This window comes from Homo sapiens, chromosome 16 (assembly GCF_000001405.40).
Source record: "Homo sapiens chromosome 16, GRCh38.p14 Primary Assembly".
Taxonomy (NCBI): domain Eukaryota; kingdom Metazoa; phylum Chordata; class Mammalia; order Primates; family Hominidae; genus Homo; species Homo sapiens.
The window spans coordinates 56,837,386-56,850,596 of record NC_000016.10 but is presented as its reverse complement, the minus strand read 5'-3'; the positions used below and the strand labels follow the sequence as shown (position 1 = coordinate 56,850,596).

Genomic DNA, 13,211 nt, shown 5'->3' with positions numbered 1-13,211 from the left:
CTTTCCGGCCAAGAATTCTGAAGTTCAGGGGGAGAAAGCACAAATTCAGAGCTGGGATGGGAGTCCTGTACTTACAGAGACCTCTGGGGACTTCGCAGACCCAGGGACTGGATAGGCCTTAGGAGCCTTCTTTGCAGGGAGTGGAGAAGGGGCCTGGCTCATTAAGCCCCGAGGCCAGGTAGAGGCACTTCTGTCACCTTCTGAGGAGCCCCCAGGCTGTGCCTCAGCTAAAGATATTCCCAGGAAAGGCCTGAGAGAGGCTTCTGCTCCACTGAAGGACTGAACAAAGGGGGCACATGGCACTCTGGGAGAATATTCCAGAAATTTACTGGCTACAGACAGGGATAGTGGTGAAGGAACCATCCTAAACAGAGTAAATGCAGAAGTTACTGTACAGAAAGGAACATGCAGAACACATCCACCAACGCTCTCCCACCCTCTCCCTTCTCCCACAAGCACCACACAGAGTGACTCGAGAAAAGCAAAAAAGAAAAAAAGGAAAATAATCAGTCAACTGAAAAACGCAAAGAATTCTCCCCCACTGAGTTTCTAACACAAGTTACTGATCAAGTGAGAAAAGGCTGTACTTTGGCTCTTTCCTTTCTTTCTAAAATACACAGTATTTGAAATTCCTGGTTGAAAAACACAGTAGATGACAGCCACTGAGGTCAACTGGGGCCCACATTATCCCGCTCAGCTGCCTGCCTAGCTCTTCAAAACTGCGTATCTCAGTCATTTCCGATGCCCACAAAAGCACAAACAATGCACAAAATCAGGGTAATCCAATTCCACTAGAGAGCTCCCGGCAGCCCGTGGCAGGCCTGAAGGTCTCTGGGCAGCTAGTACCAGCAGAGGCAAGCCCAGGTAGGGCAGCCACATAGAACTGGGACATACTTACACTAGGAACTTCTTCACTGTTTATCCAAAATGCAAACTTAATTGAGTGTCCTATATTTTTATTTGCTAAGTCTGACCCGGATGAAGGGGCCTTACCTGCAGGCCATAAAGCCCCTGGGTGCCACCTGAAAGCCTGCCTAGGCCAGGTCTGCTGAGGCCACCAAAGCATATGTCCTGATGCTGAAGTCCCCTCTGGGATCACTGACTCCCCACTTCCTGTTCAAACAGAAGCCAGTGTCTGGGGCAAACTTTTTTGCCCTCCCCATCCCCAAGAAATAGAAGCTCAAGGGCAAAGGCAGCCAGGTGTACAGATTGTGCTAGCGCAGAGCTGGGTTTCTGCCAGCACCCCGTCCCTTTTTCTTTTTAAAGATCCGGCCTTCATTATTCACAGTACATCAAATTTCCACCCCCTTCTCAATGTTTCCCTGCTGCTGTGCAGCTCTGCAAGTTTCTGTCTTTGAAGGAACAGCCCTGAGTCTCATTTGATCCTGGGAGACATTATTCTCCTCCACCTTCTTTCAGACTGAATGCCTATTAAGGGCCCCCACGGTGAATCACGGAGTCTGAATCTAGGCACGTGGAGCTGATCCAGAGGATGTGGGGAGGAGCCTGGCACAGGAGGACAAAGCAAAGCATCTGCTCATTCAAATATCTGCTGAGCAATCTACTGTGGGCCAGATACCCCAGAGAGGGCACACAGGAGAAGCATATTTCAAAAACCAAGGTTAGGACAGGAAAATATCCTCTTTCCCTGGGTTAGCAACTTAGAACCACGAGTACTTCACTTAGGTGATCCTGGACAAAAAAACGAAAAAAACGAGCCTACTTTTAAAGAATTATGCACAACTCTGGGAACAAATCAGTGCTTAATTTACCTCAGATATTCCAGCTACCTAGCACGGCCCAGCACACAAAGAGGTTTTGAAATCATCTGCTGCAATGGAATCTTGGCTGATAAATACACGTGGCCTATCTAGCCAGTCACAAGTTATGTGCGTAACAAGGCAAAAAAGCAGCACAGACCACTTGAAATCTCTTTTCAGAACACTTTAGTAATTTTTAACTTTTTTCCTTTTCGGTTGGAAACAAGTGGCAGAAAGATTTATTTCCTTCCTGTCCCTGCCCTGTGAGGGATACCAATATATTATGGAACTGTCAGAAGATGGTGGAAGATGGGAAGACTTGTGGATTCAGCGTAGGATAAAGAATGGGGGATATTTTCTTCCACAGTTTAGACAACTCCTGTTTAATGAGATGCTGACTTCTTCCTGGTATTTCTGAGATGCAGGAACAAAAGCTCAATTCTGATATAAAACACACATTTCCATCAAGAATTTTATATGTAACACTTTCTCCCAATTTGCTGACACAGGGCTCAATTCCTTTCCCAGCTGACTGAGGCTAAGGGAGAGTTCGCAGTCAGTGTGGGGACTGCCAAGACTTTGTCAGGCCTGGGTCAACCCGCCAGCCCAGGGGTTCATTTTCTGACTCAGCATTCAGCATGCTCAAGTCACTTCCTGAGTGGCATGCTGGAAATTTGGCAAGTGATGTGAACCACCTAATGAACTAGACAAAGGTTCTGGTGCCTAGTAGAGAAAAAGGATAGTAGAGATCCAGTCTAAAGCAGGAAGGCGTTGGCAGAGCTGCATATAACTGCAAATTTAGTATTAAGGGTTCTGGCTAGGTGCAGGCAAGGGTAAAAATTCAAAGAGAGAAAAATCACCCTCAGGTTTTTTTTGGTCAGCAAATGCTGGACACTGCGGAAAAGTCTGTAGTTCTTTGCTTTAAAGCTGCCTGTTCTAGGATTTAAATGATGCATCAAGAGTTAACAGTGGCTGCCAAATTGTCCTTAAGAGGCTCTAATTAGACTGTAAGTTCGCGGAGGACAGGAGCTGGGTCTGCATCCTGGCCCCAGTGTAAAATGGGCACTTCCTGCTCTTTGATGAGCCCGCCCAGCTCGTGAGTGAAAAAGGAAGGCATCTGCCGTGGCAGAGCTCACCAGTTTCGCTTCAGTTTTCCCTCTGAAGTTGGGGAGTCAAAGAGTTTTTTGTTGCTGTTGTTGTTGAGCCAAAAGAAGAGAATCTGTGAAATTAAATCTCCAGGCCTCTGAAAAGGATCCAGATCAAGTCAGTACTTTCCTTTGAGTGTTTCAGTGAGTTTATTATGAGCCATTCTGAGACAGGAACAAACCCTGACAGTCTCAAAGTGCCCCCAATTTCATTAGAAAGATCGAAATCTCACATCTGGAAGACAAGACGCCTAGTGCCACTTTCTCTTAGTTTCTCTGGGTAAATAGTGAAATCCTGGCCCAACATCTAAGGAAAGAGTTAGTTCTCTGAAAAAGTGGGCTGAAGATGAGTTTTTAAGATAATAACCTGTCACAGGGTCAGGACTTCTGGGCATAAGCTGTAATGATGGGTACATGACAACCTGATGTTGTGGCCTTGCAAATTCAGCCTGTTTCTCATCTCTGCACAATTCCAGAGGCCTGTGCTCAATCGCACAATCAGCTTGTAGGACAAGAACTGGGATTTGCTCCATCCGAGTCCTGGCCCTTCTGGTATGAACCTACTTATCTTCTTTCTCCTACAAATGTCTCTCTCAGCAAGTCCTTAACTGCCAACCAGTGACCACTTTTCTCCCAACTCACAGCTCCCCTAGCAGAGCAGCTCAAGGTCTGGCTGCTTCTCTCCCTTCTCATTTTAGGACCCATCTACAGGTCAAAGAACCTCATCCCCTGGATGCAGGGCTGGTGTGCAGTTCTCTCTGAGACAAGTAGAACTGCAGGATGCAAGGAAAGGCAAATCCACGATTCTCATGGGATAGTGAAGAAGAGGTAAGCCAGGAGCAAACATGTATTTAAACAACTTGAGCCTTCTCATTTGTGGCATTGTTATATTTCTATCTGCAAGTAAAATCTAGTATTAGAAAAACAAAGCACTAAGTTGCACTTTATGAAAAGTCCACAGAGTACTCTTATTTTTATTTTTGAATCAGAGCCTCACTCCATCGCCTAGGCTGGAGTGCAGTGGCATAAGCTCGGCTCACTGCAACCTCCGCCTCTTGGGTTCAAGTGATTCTCCTGCCTCAGCCTCCCGAGTAGCTGGGATTACAGGCGCCTGCCACCATGCCCAGCTGATTTTTGTATTTTTAGTAGAAACGGGGTTTCCCCATGTTGGCCAGACTGGTCTCAAACCCCTTACCTCAAGCGAACTGCCTGCCTTGGCCTCCCAAAGTGCTGGGGTTACAGGCGTGAGCCACTGCACTCGGCCAGAGTACTCTTTATTTTTTTGAGACGGAGTATCGCTCTTTCACCCAGGCTGGAGTGCAGTGGCATGATCTCAGATCACTGCAACCTTCGCCTCCCGGGTTCAAGCAATTCTGTCTCAGCTTCCTGTGTAGCTGGGATTACAGGTGCCTGCCACCATGCCCGGCTAATTTTTGTATTTTTAGTATAGACGGGGTGTCACAATGTTGGCCAGGCTGGTCTTGAACTCCTGATCTCAGGTGATCACCTGCCTTGGCCTCCCAAAGTGCTAGGATTACAGGTGTGAGCCACCCCACCCGGCCAGGAGTACTCTTTTTTAAAAAGCACTATTAAATCATTTGATTAGCTTAAATCAGCACATATAAGCAGGGCACAACTTGCTAAATCAAGGCCTCTGCAGGGCTCATGTTTCAAGACTTTCTAGTAAAGCTCAATTGAAGACAGTCCTCCAGGGTGACAAGATGGGACTAGAGGAGGAAGGCAGAACACAGCTCCACTGACCCTCAGGCCGCATCCTTCCTGGAACATGGAATCCTACCGATAAGCAGCAGTTGGTTCCATTATCTACAGATTATTTCTTCCCAAAAGAAAAGGTAACAATTATTTTAACAACTGGGAGACAGTGGGGATGACCACACCCTGTGACAAGACAGAAACTTCTCCCTACAAGCAAAGGCACCTTTGGGGACCCTTTGGGGATCTTAACATTCTGCTGGGAAAGAGTCTACCTCAGGGAGCCGTCCATCAAACCAGCAGAGCAGACCACTGCCCACTGTCTCAAGGCTCCAGTTGGCCCATTCAGGAACAAACACGACCTAATTTGCTCTCTGGTTTAGTCTAGGGCTTTGGGACTGATGGTGGGGGAAACAGAGCAAATGATGGGTGACAACTACTGCTCAGGGAGCAAACACCCATGGTGCTGATGCCATGTGGTGGTCTGGATTCTGTACATTGCAGACTCAGCACGTGACCCATGAGCCTGCCTGGCCAATTACCTTAATGAGTGGGGAAGGGGGTCGTCTGAGCAGAGGAACTGACCACCAGAGAAGGGAAATAGGGGCTTAAACGTCTTTCTAGGAGGGGTGTGTACAAGGCCGAGCAGTCAACTCACAGTGGAGCAGCTACAGAGGAGTGCAGTGGCAAGGTTTACCCCTTCCTCAAGTGCAAGCTGGGGGCACTTGCAACCTTCCTTCTTAAGGCTTTTTCTAGGTCTATGCTTTTATCTCCACTGGGATTGCAACAGAACGGCAAACTGATGAATCCTGCAATCAGAGCTGATGATTTGGGGGATGGTCTTGGACCATCTGGACTTAAGTCACACTCTCTAGAGGAGGACATGGAGTGCTTGATATTTCACACACAAATCTTACATCTTCTAAGGCTGAGGTTGACTTTCACATTCAAATAAAAATGTGAAAATGAATCGTGACTCTGCTATATGGAATATTATATCTAAATAAAAGTAACTCCCAAAGGCTTTGTTTCCTGGCTCATTTTGGGTAGATTTTTAATTAATTAAGGTCAATTTAACCAAATAATGAATATCTACATAGCCTCTCATTCCCTGGCCCAAGAGCTAGTGACGGTATTTCCCATTACACAAATAAAAATGTAAACAAAATTTCAAAGAAAAAAAAAAAGAAAATAAAAGAATGTTGAAAAGAAATACAAATCAAAGAAATTTATTGGCGTTGACAAAAATACATAATACAGAAACCAAAACAAAACACAACAGAAACAAAACCAGAAACCCCAGCCTAGTGGGCCCATGTGCCTGATGTACTGACAGTGTGCCGACCCAGACTCCCACAAAGCATGGCACTTAATTCATGAGGACCTCCATCTGCACCAGCCTCGCATTGGTGTCCCCAGACGTTCGGTATGGTATCATTCCAGCAAAGGTAATCAGAGTGCGGGCTTGACTTCGGAGTTGCTGAGAGAGAAGGGAAGGAAGGGAAGGAAATCGGTTAACTTTCGAGTCAGGGCACTATTCCATATTCTTCCATCCTCTATTCCATGTTCTTCCATCCTCTACCCCAGCGTGTCAGGGACAGATCCCTGATGGGTGGATGACAGTCATACCCTCCTCTGTCACATTCCTTCAACATAACACAAAGTTAACAAAGCTCGTCCCCCGAGGCCTCTGTTCCACAGGCATCCAAACCCATCTATTAAGCAAAAAGCAGATGGGTTTGCCAGGCAAGCCGCCTCGCCCCAACACATTTGGCTAGCTTTTGACACAGCCCTGAGCTTCAGAACTGCCTGCTCCAATCTTCTGAGCCTCTCTCTCTGGCTGGTTTCTGTCCATCTGCTTTCACAGGGATCTGACTCTCCAGAGCCCCATGAAGCCCTTGTGACACCGGAGGCAAGGGCTGTGACTGTGCAGTCCCAATCCAGCTCTCTTCCTCCCATGCATCTTTCCTCTTCCTTCCTTTCATTCCTCCTGTTTCTCCCTTCCCGACATACATGCTTAGCCCTTCTTTCCCCAGGCAACAGTATTTATGGAATTCCTGGATTGTTCAGGATGGAAAAAGGTGGCCCTACAAATTTAAACCAAATCTGGACTAGAAAGGGAGAAATCTACCACCAACACCTTTCTGGACTAGTAACAAGAATTTAAAGAAACACTGAGGAGTCATCTACTAGGCTTACTTAAGGACCATTCCAGAAGAAAACGGAAAAGCAAATGCTTTTTACCTGATGTGTAAAACAAACTAGCGAGTGTATGTCCTTATTGATGTCCAAACAAAAAGAAATCTGACTTTGTGATGTGAATATCCACTGTATTTTCTTTAGAAGTGAATAAAAGGGCTCTCGTTAAATGAGCTCTAGGGATGTTCAAGTAAAAGGATTCACCCCTTTACTAGGCAGCATCTCACTTTAAACCATGAAACCAAGGACGTCAGTGGGCTTGCAGACTTCTTGGGCACGCAGCTTTTATAGATAACCTTTTACTTAATCCTATCCCTCCCTACCTTTCAGAAAAAGAAAGAAAAAGGAGAGTGGTGGGCAAAAGGAAGGCAGGAGAATGATCTTCAGACATGAGACATGGCCTGCCAGGGGACCAGCTCTTCTCAGTGGGCAAGCCCCACTGAACTGTAAGCAGCACACAGAGCACCAAGAAGTATCCACCATCTCAATACTCACATTCACAAACATCACTGCCCTGGGTTTCTATCATCAAAAAAGATTCCTGCCAAATGGTGGGCACCATGAACCCACCGCTGGCACATCTGACATTTAGACTCCTATCTGTCCGGGGTAGGCAGAAGACCAGCAAATGCTCTGGTGCACACCTGGATGGGCTGACCGCTTCAGTGGACCACTCTTGAGCACTGTTACCCACATTCCTAAAGGTGGAAATTTCCGCCATCTTTCACTAAGCACAAGTTTTGTCAACAACCATGCCTGTGGGGTCACAGTGGAAAGAGCTCACAGACATCTTGGAGGCAGAAGACAGATCAAGGCTTCTTGGCTGCCAAAACCAGGTCTGATGTTAGACACTGAGATGCTGAGAGTCTCATCAAAAATTAAGTGGAAAGGTTAAAGGAAAGGTAATTTTAAAAAACACTATTGTGGGGCCGGGAACGGTGGCTCACATCTGTAATCCTAGCACTTTGGGAGGCCGAGGTTGGGGGATCTCTTGAGCTCAGGAGTTCGAGACCAGTCTGGGCAACATGGTAAAATTCCATCTCTATATAAAGTACAAAACTCCGCTGGGTGTGGTGGTGCGTACCTGTAGTCCCAGCTACTTGGGAGGGTGAGGTGGGAGGGTGGCTTGAGCCCAAGAGGTAGAGGTTGCAGTGAGCTGAGATCGTGTCATTGCATTCCAGCCTGGGCAACAGAGCCAGGCCCTGCCTCAAAAAAAAAAAAAAAGCAAACACCATTGGACTGTCCCCTTATGGTTTAACTGGGTCAAAAAATACCTTTGCTCTTTTTTTTTGTAATCAGACAACATATGCTGTGAGCCCCAGGGTTCTAGCTACCTGGACTCCACTTGACCCATGCACTGCTGGAGGTCCCACAGGCAGCAGAAAGGGCACAGGTGTCAGAGAGACCCAGCCTCCAGACATGGCCCCTTCACCTACCTGCCACCTGAGGGCAGTTGCTTCCCAACTCCACAGCTCAGTTTCCTCAGCTGTGAGAGGGGATAAGATGCTGTCCTAGTTACCTCTCTAGGGTCACTGTGAACACAGGTGACAGGAGAAACAAGGGTTCACATTAATGTGTTGATCAAAAATAAAGTATGGTTTTAATAAAAGTGTTCACTAATGAGCTAGGACTAACAAAATAAACTTATCTTTTAAAATGTGCAGGAAGTTCTTATGGAGTCAACTAGAAATTAGCATTCTGTTTGATTTGTTAAAAGGTAAGATTTGCAGACCTAGTACATCTTTTTATTTTTTTAAGCTTGAGAAGAGCAGCAATCCCTTTAATATTTGATTTCCTCTGGGAGCCTCCTAACACGAGATTTATCCAGCTGCCAGGTACTGAGGAGAAAGAGCAGTTTTGGGTCATGTGGTCTCATAAGAGCGCAACGGATTCCAAACCAGAAAGGTGGTGCTTAGCAATGTTTCTCGCGAATGCTGGGATCTTACAGAGTCGCGGTCCTCGATGACTCGCTGGGGCCTGGATGACGAGGATGGACTTGTCCCCTTGAGCCTCTTAAACTGTGTGAACAAGATGTTCATGGTGGCAAGAAGCACTTCTGAGAGGTTGTGCCTGATCTACATAGAGAGAAAAACAGAGTAAAGAAAAAGAACCAAGCCTTTGGGGCCAACCACAGATGGAGGGAGGGTGGGCTGCTCCAGGCAGGCCTGGTTGCACCACTCCTCACCATTGCCAGGTGGAGAGCCACACAGTCACCCAAAAGGAGCTGATGGCACTGAAACATCAAGTGTGAGAAAAAAACCCAAGCAATGCTGCTCAGGTCAGGTGGTTACTGTTCCTGCTCCTTTATGCTGTTTTTCCCTTAGTCAGGGGCAGTGAGCCAAAAGCATGCTGACATCTGGTTAGCATTAGGCTTAGACTGGCCAGCAGAGTGGCTGCCATTAAATAATTTGAACTTGAATGTCAGGAGGTACAGGTGCACACGCTACTTCTCCACAGTCCCTACCACTCCTCACTCTCTCAAACTCACCGGGCTGTTTCCACTAGATCTGCATGACCCTACCAGAGTCCTTGGGAGTGTCTATAAGGCCAGGCCCTCGTGTACCACTTTAATCCCTGATGCAATGAAGGATGCATTCAAGGAAAGGCCAGAAATAACAAAGGAGCAAGTGGCTAAGGGTAGAAGCCACAGCAGGTATAAAGGGAAGGTCAGCAAGGGGCAAGACCTTCTGAACTGTGTGTACCACAGCAGTCAACATCCCTCTTCATGTGCAGAACTGGCCTTACTTCTTTCTCTAAAATAGAAACTTTTTTTTTTTTTTTTTGAGACAAAGTCTCCCTCTATCGCCCAGGCTGGAGTGAAGTGGCGCAATCTCGGCTCACTGCAACCTTTGCTTCCCGGGTTCAAGCGATTCTCGTGCCTCAGCCTCTGGAATAGCTGGGACTACAGGTATGCGTCACCACGCCCGGCTAATTTTTGTATTTTTTAGTAGAGATGGGATTTTACCATGTTGGCCAGGCTGGTCTCGAACTCCTGACCTCAGGTGATCAGTCCGCCTCAGCCTCCCAAAATGTTGGGATTATAGGTGTGAGCCACCGCACCTGGCTGGAGACATTTTATAAAAGGCATCTGCTCAATGAGGAAGAATTGTAAACTGAAAGACCACTAGTGACATCCCAGAGCCAGGCAGCTGGTTCTAGAGTCTATAGTGTCGACAGCTGAGTTGAGTGTTTATAGTTCTAGAGAAGAATTTACCTGGGCCACACACTGGAATGACTGGGGGAGGTCTGGGCTGCAGCAATCAGGGAAAACAGAATCTCTGGGGTGTAGGCATGAGGGTTTTTAGAAACTTTTCTAGAGATGCCAGTATGCAGCCCAGCTGAGCACCCTAGGCTAGATGCTGGCAATATGCTAGAAACCCAACAGACAGTGGCTCTGGGGCTTATGGGGTGATAGCTTACTCCGCGGTCACTGCACTTGCGTCTTTAGACAAAATGGATTGGCTGGGCACGGTGGCTCACGCCTGTAATCCCAGCATTTTGGGAGGCCGAGGCGGGCAGATCACGAGGTCAGAAGATCGAGACCATCCTGGCTAACACGGTGAAACCCCATCTCTACTAAATATACAAAAAATTAGCTGGGCGTGTTGGCGGGCACCTGTAGTCCCAGCTACTCGTGAGGCTGAGGCAGGAGAATGGTGTGAACCCGGGAGGTAGAGCTTGCAGTGAGCCAAGATCACACCACTGCACTCCAGCCTGGGTGACAGAGTGAGACTCCTCCGTTTCAAAAACAAAAAAATCCCAAAACAGATAAGGGAGGGCAAAGGTGGCAGTGAATCATGATGTGTTTCACGTACCCAATGGAACTACTTAAAGATGATCAGAGTTAAGCACTAAAATACCCTCTAGCACAAGCGGATAATAGAAGAATTAAACCAGACTTCACAGATCAACCAGAAACCTGTTTCTCCCAAGAACATGTCAATCACTGAAGTGACTGTATTTTCTCAATTAGGAATTCAGACAATAATCTGATGGGGATGTATGCACTCACAGAAAAGCCAGGCCAAGGTATCTGAAAGGGAACCACTCTGGAAAACTCAGTCTGGATAGTTACTGTAACTAGAATTCTTAAAGCTGTTAGGTACAGGAAAAGAAAAAGCTTTTGGTGGAAGTGGGGAAAAAGGAATTCCACAACTCAGGAAGAAGGAACTTACTTCATCACTGAAATTTCTGAAGGCAGCCACTCTCTCTTCCACACTTTCCTGATTCAGGGGCACCAGCTTCAAGCGCTCAATGATCTGTTTAAAACAACCACCGGCCCCATGTAACACAACCATCACAGTCATTTCATCTCTCTACATGTAAAGTCAGCACCTCACATACTCCAAAGGGCTTCTTCATAGAAAACGCCATTCCTCCTTGTACACACAAAGGCTTTGATTCTAACTAGCTAACTTAATTCTTATCATCATTTCCTGACACAATTTTTAAAATTCTGAGATTGCAAATTACTTTGAGAAACTTCTCTGTTTTCAGATTAAAGGGGAAAGGAATAGGCAAAAAAAAAAAAAAAAAAAAAAAAAAAGCCACACAGGAAACTCCTTTTAAGTCCCAGGATTGTACTTGTCTTTCTTTATACAACAAACATACTGGCAACAGCTCCTTTGTTTTAAGTAAATTCCATGAAGTGTTTTGAATTTTCGAGGGTGTACATTAACCTGCACTTCAAACACCTTTCCTGAAACTTACATCAAAAGCTCTATCAATATGACCACTATGATACTCGTCAAAAAAGGTGATCAAGTCCAAAAGAAGATAGAACGTGGAGTCCACAAATTTATTTGCGCTTATTCCTTGAGCCCTATACCTGAAAGACAAAAACGGGGTGGGGGTAGTAAGAGTGTATCAGGAATTTCTGTGTAATCCGTAACAGTGGAATAGCATTTAAAAAAACAGTGGGGTGTGGTCGCTCATGCCTGTAATCTCAGCTACATGGGAGGCTGGGGCGGAAGGATTGCTTGAGGCCAGGAGTCAGTGACCAGCCTGGACACACAGCGAGACCCCATCTCCACAAAATATTAAAATATTAACTGAGTGTGGTGGTACATGCCTGTAGTCCTAGTTACTCAGGAGGCTGAGGTGGGAGGATTGCTTGAGCCCAGGAGTTCAAGGTTACAGTGAGCTATGACTGCACTACTGCACTCCACTCCAGCCTGGGTGATACAGGGAGACCCTGTCTTAACATACAAAAAAAATGTATAAAAAGCATCAAAACCTTCTGAGCTCTCTGGGTGAAGTTAATTAAAGAGTGTAAAATGGTGTTTATTTTGAAACAGCCAAGCACTGATAGTGGATTTGGTATGAATCCACCTACAGGTACTCCACCACATGAAGCATGGTTCTCCAGCCTTGATCATCATCTCAGCATCCAATCTTCATGAAAGGTGGGAGGTCGTGATGGGCAAAAAGCCGAGCAGCCCTCACTGGGGATTGTTTGCTAGGTGGAGATATCTCATTTACCAAAGAATGTTCTTTTTTGTTACCCCGGGAAGGCACCCCAAACCCAGTTTTCTCTGGGTCATTTTACTAGGAATATCTACAGAGAGCGCAAAAAGTAATGTTGTTAGCTTCAGCCTGGGACTTAAACTAGTTAGAAGTCTGATAATTCAGTTAACTCACTGGGGATCCAGGTAGTCTGAAACACTGGCCACGACACCTCTAAGAATCTCCCCCATCCAACCATCACTAGCTTTGGTCTTGAATGCCTTTGAGAGGGCTGATGAAAGTATACAACAGTATTTAGGCGAGCATAATGCTTAAAATTAAGCTTTATGTGCATGATTAAAATACTGAGATGCCCTTTCATACCCATTTCTTTGGCAAAAATGTTAAGTTTGATAGTACCAAGTACTAGTTCTGATGCGGGGACAAAGGAACTCACACAGTGCTGGTGGCATGGTGAGTTAGTAGAACCACTTTGGAAAGCTGTCTGCTGTTACCTAGTAAAGCTGAACATGCATTTGGGTGGGCATAGGTGGCCTGGCACTGGCAGTGGCACCCTCAGGGTCCCATGGAGCCAGCTCCTGGCTTACCGTTCGGCAATGGAGAGTGCCATGTTCTTCAGCCTCTCCTTGTTGGATTGCGGGGCACTGATCTGGGGGACGACAGGGCTCAGCAGTTTGTTCATCAGCTCCAGTACCTTGTCAGCATTCTGCTCAAGTTTTTAAAATTAAGGAAGCAATCAATAAAGTAATCAATAAAAGGAACAACTATATAATGCCCCCTACCCACCAAAGAGAACTTTCTGGGGTGACATTTTTTACCGCCTCCCAAGTTCAAGCAATTCTCGTGCCTCAGCCTCCTGAGCAGCTGGGATTACAGGCATGCACCACTATGCCTGACTAATTTTTATATTTTTAGTAGAGACGGGGTT

At 46.3% G+C, this 13,211-nt stretch overlaps 1 protein-coding gene across 4 annotated transcripts in view; it reads right to left on the bottom strand.

Moving 5' to 3' along the window:
- The window catches only part of NUP93 (nucleoporin 93), a 120,158-nt gene continuing 107,257 nt past the window's right edge, over positions 311-13,211 (bottom strand). For 3 of the 4 annotated variants that reach the window (NM_014669.5, XM_005256263.4, NM_001242795.2), the window contains 5 exons: positions 12,871-12,989; positions 11,528-11,645; positions 10,993-11,076; positions 8,764-8,892; positions 311-6,098 (listed from right to left, as the gene is read on the bottom strand). In NM_014669.5, the coding sequence (NP_055484.3) occupies positions 5,988-6,098; positions 8,764-8,892; positions 10,993-11,076; positions 11,528-11,645; positions 12,871-12,989 (561 nt within the window). In that variant the 3' untranslated portion in view covers positions 311-5,987. The remainder of the gene's footprint in view (positions 6,099-8,763; positions 8,893-10,992; positions 11,077-11,527; positions 11,646-12,870; positions 12,990-13,211) is intronic. The other variant, NM_001242796.2, reaches the window with a different exon arrangement.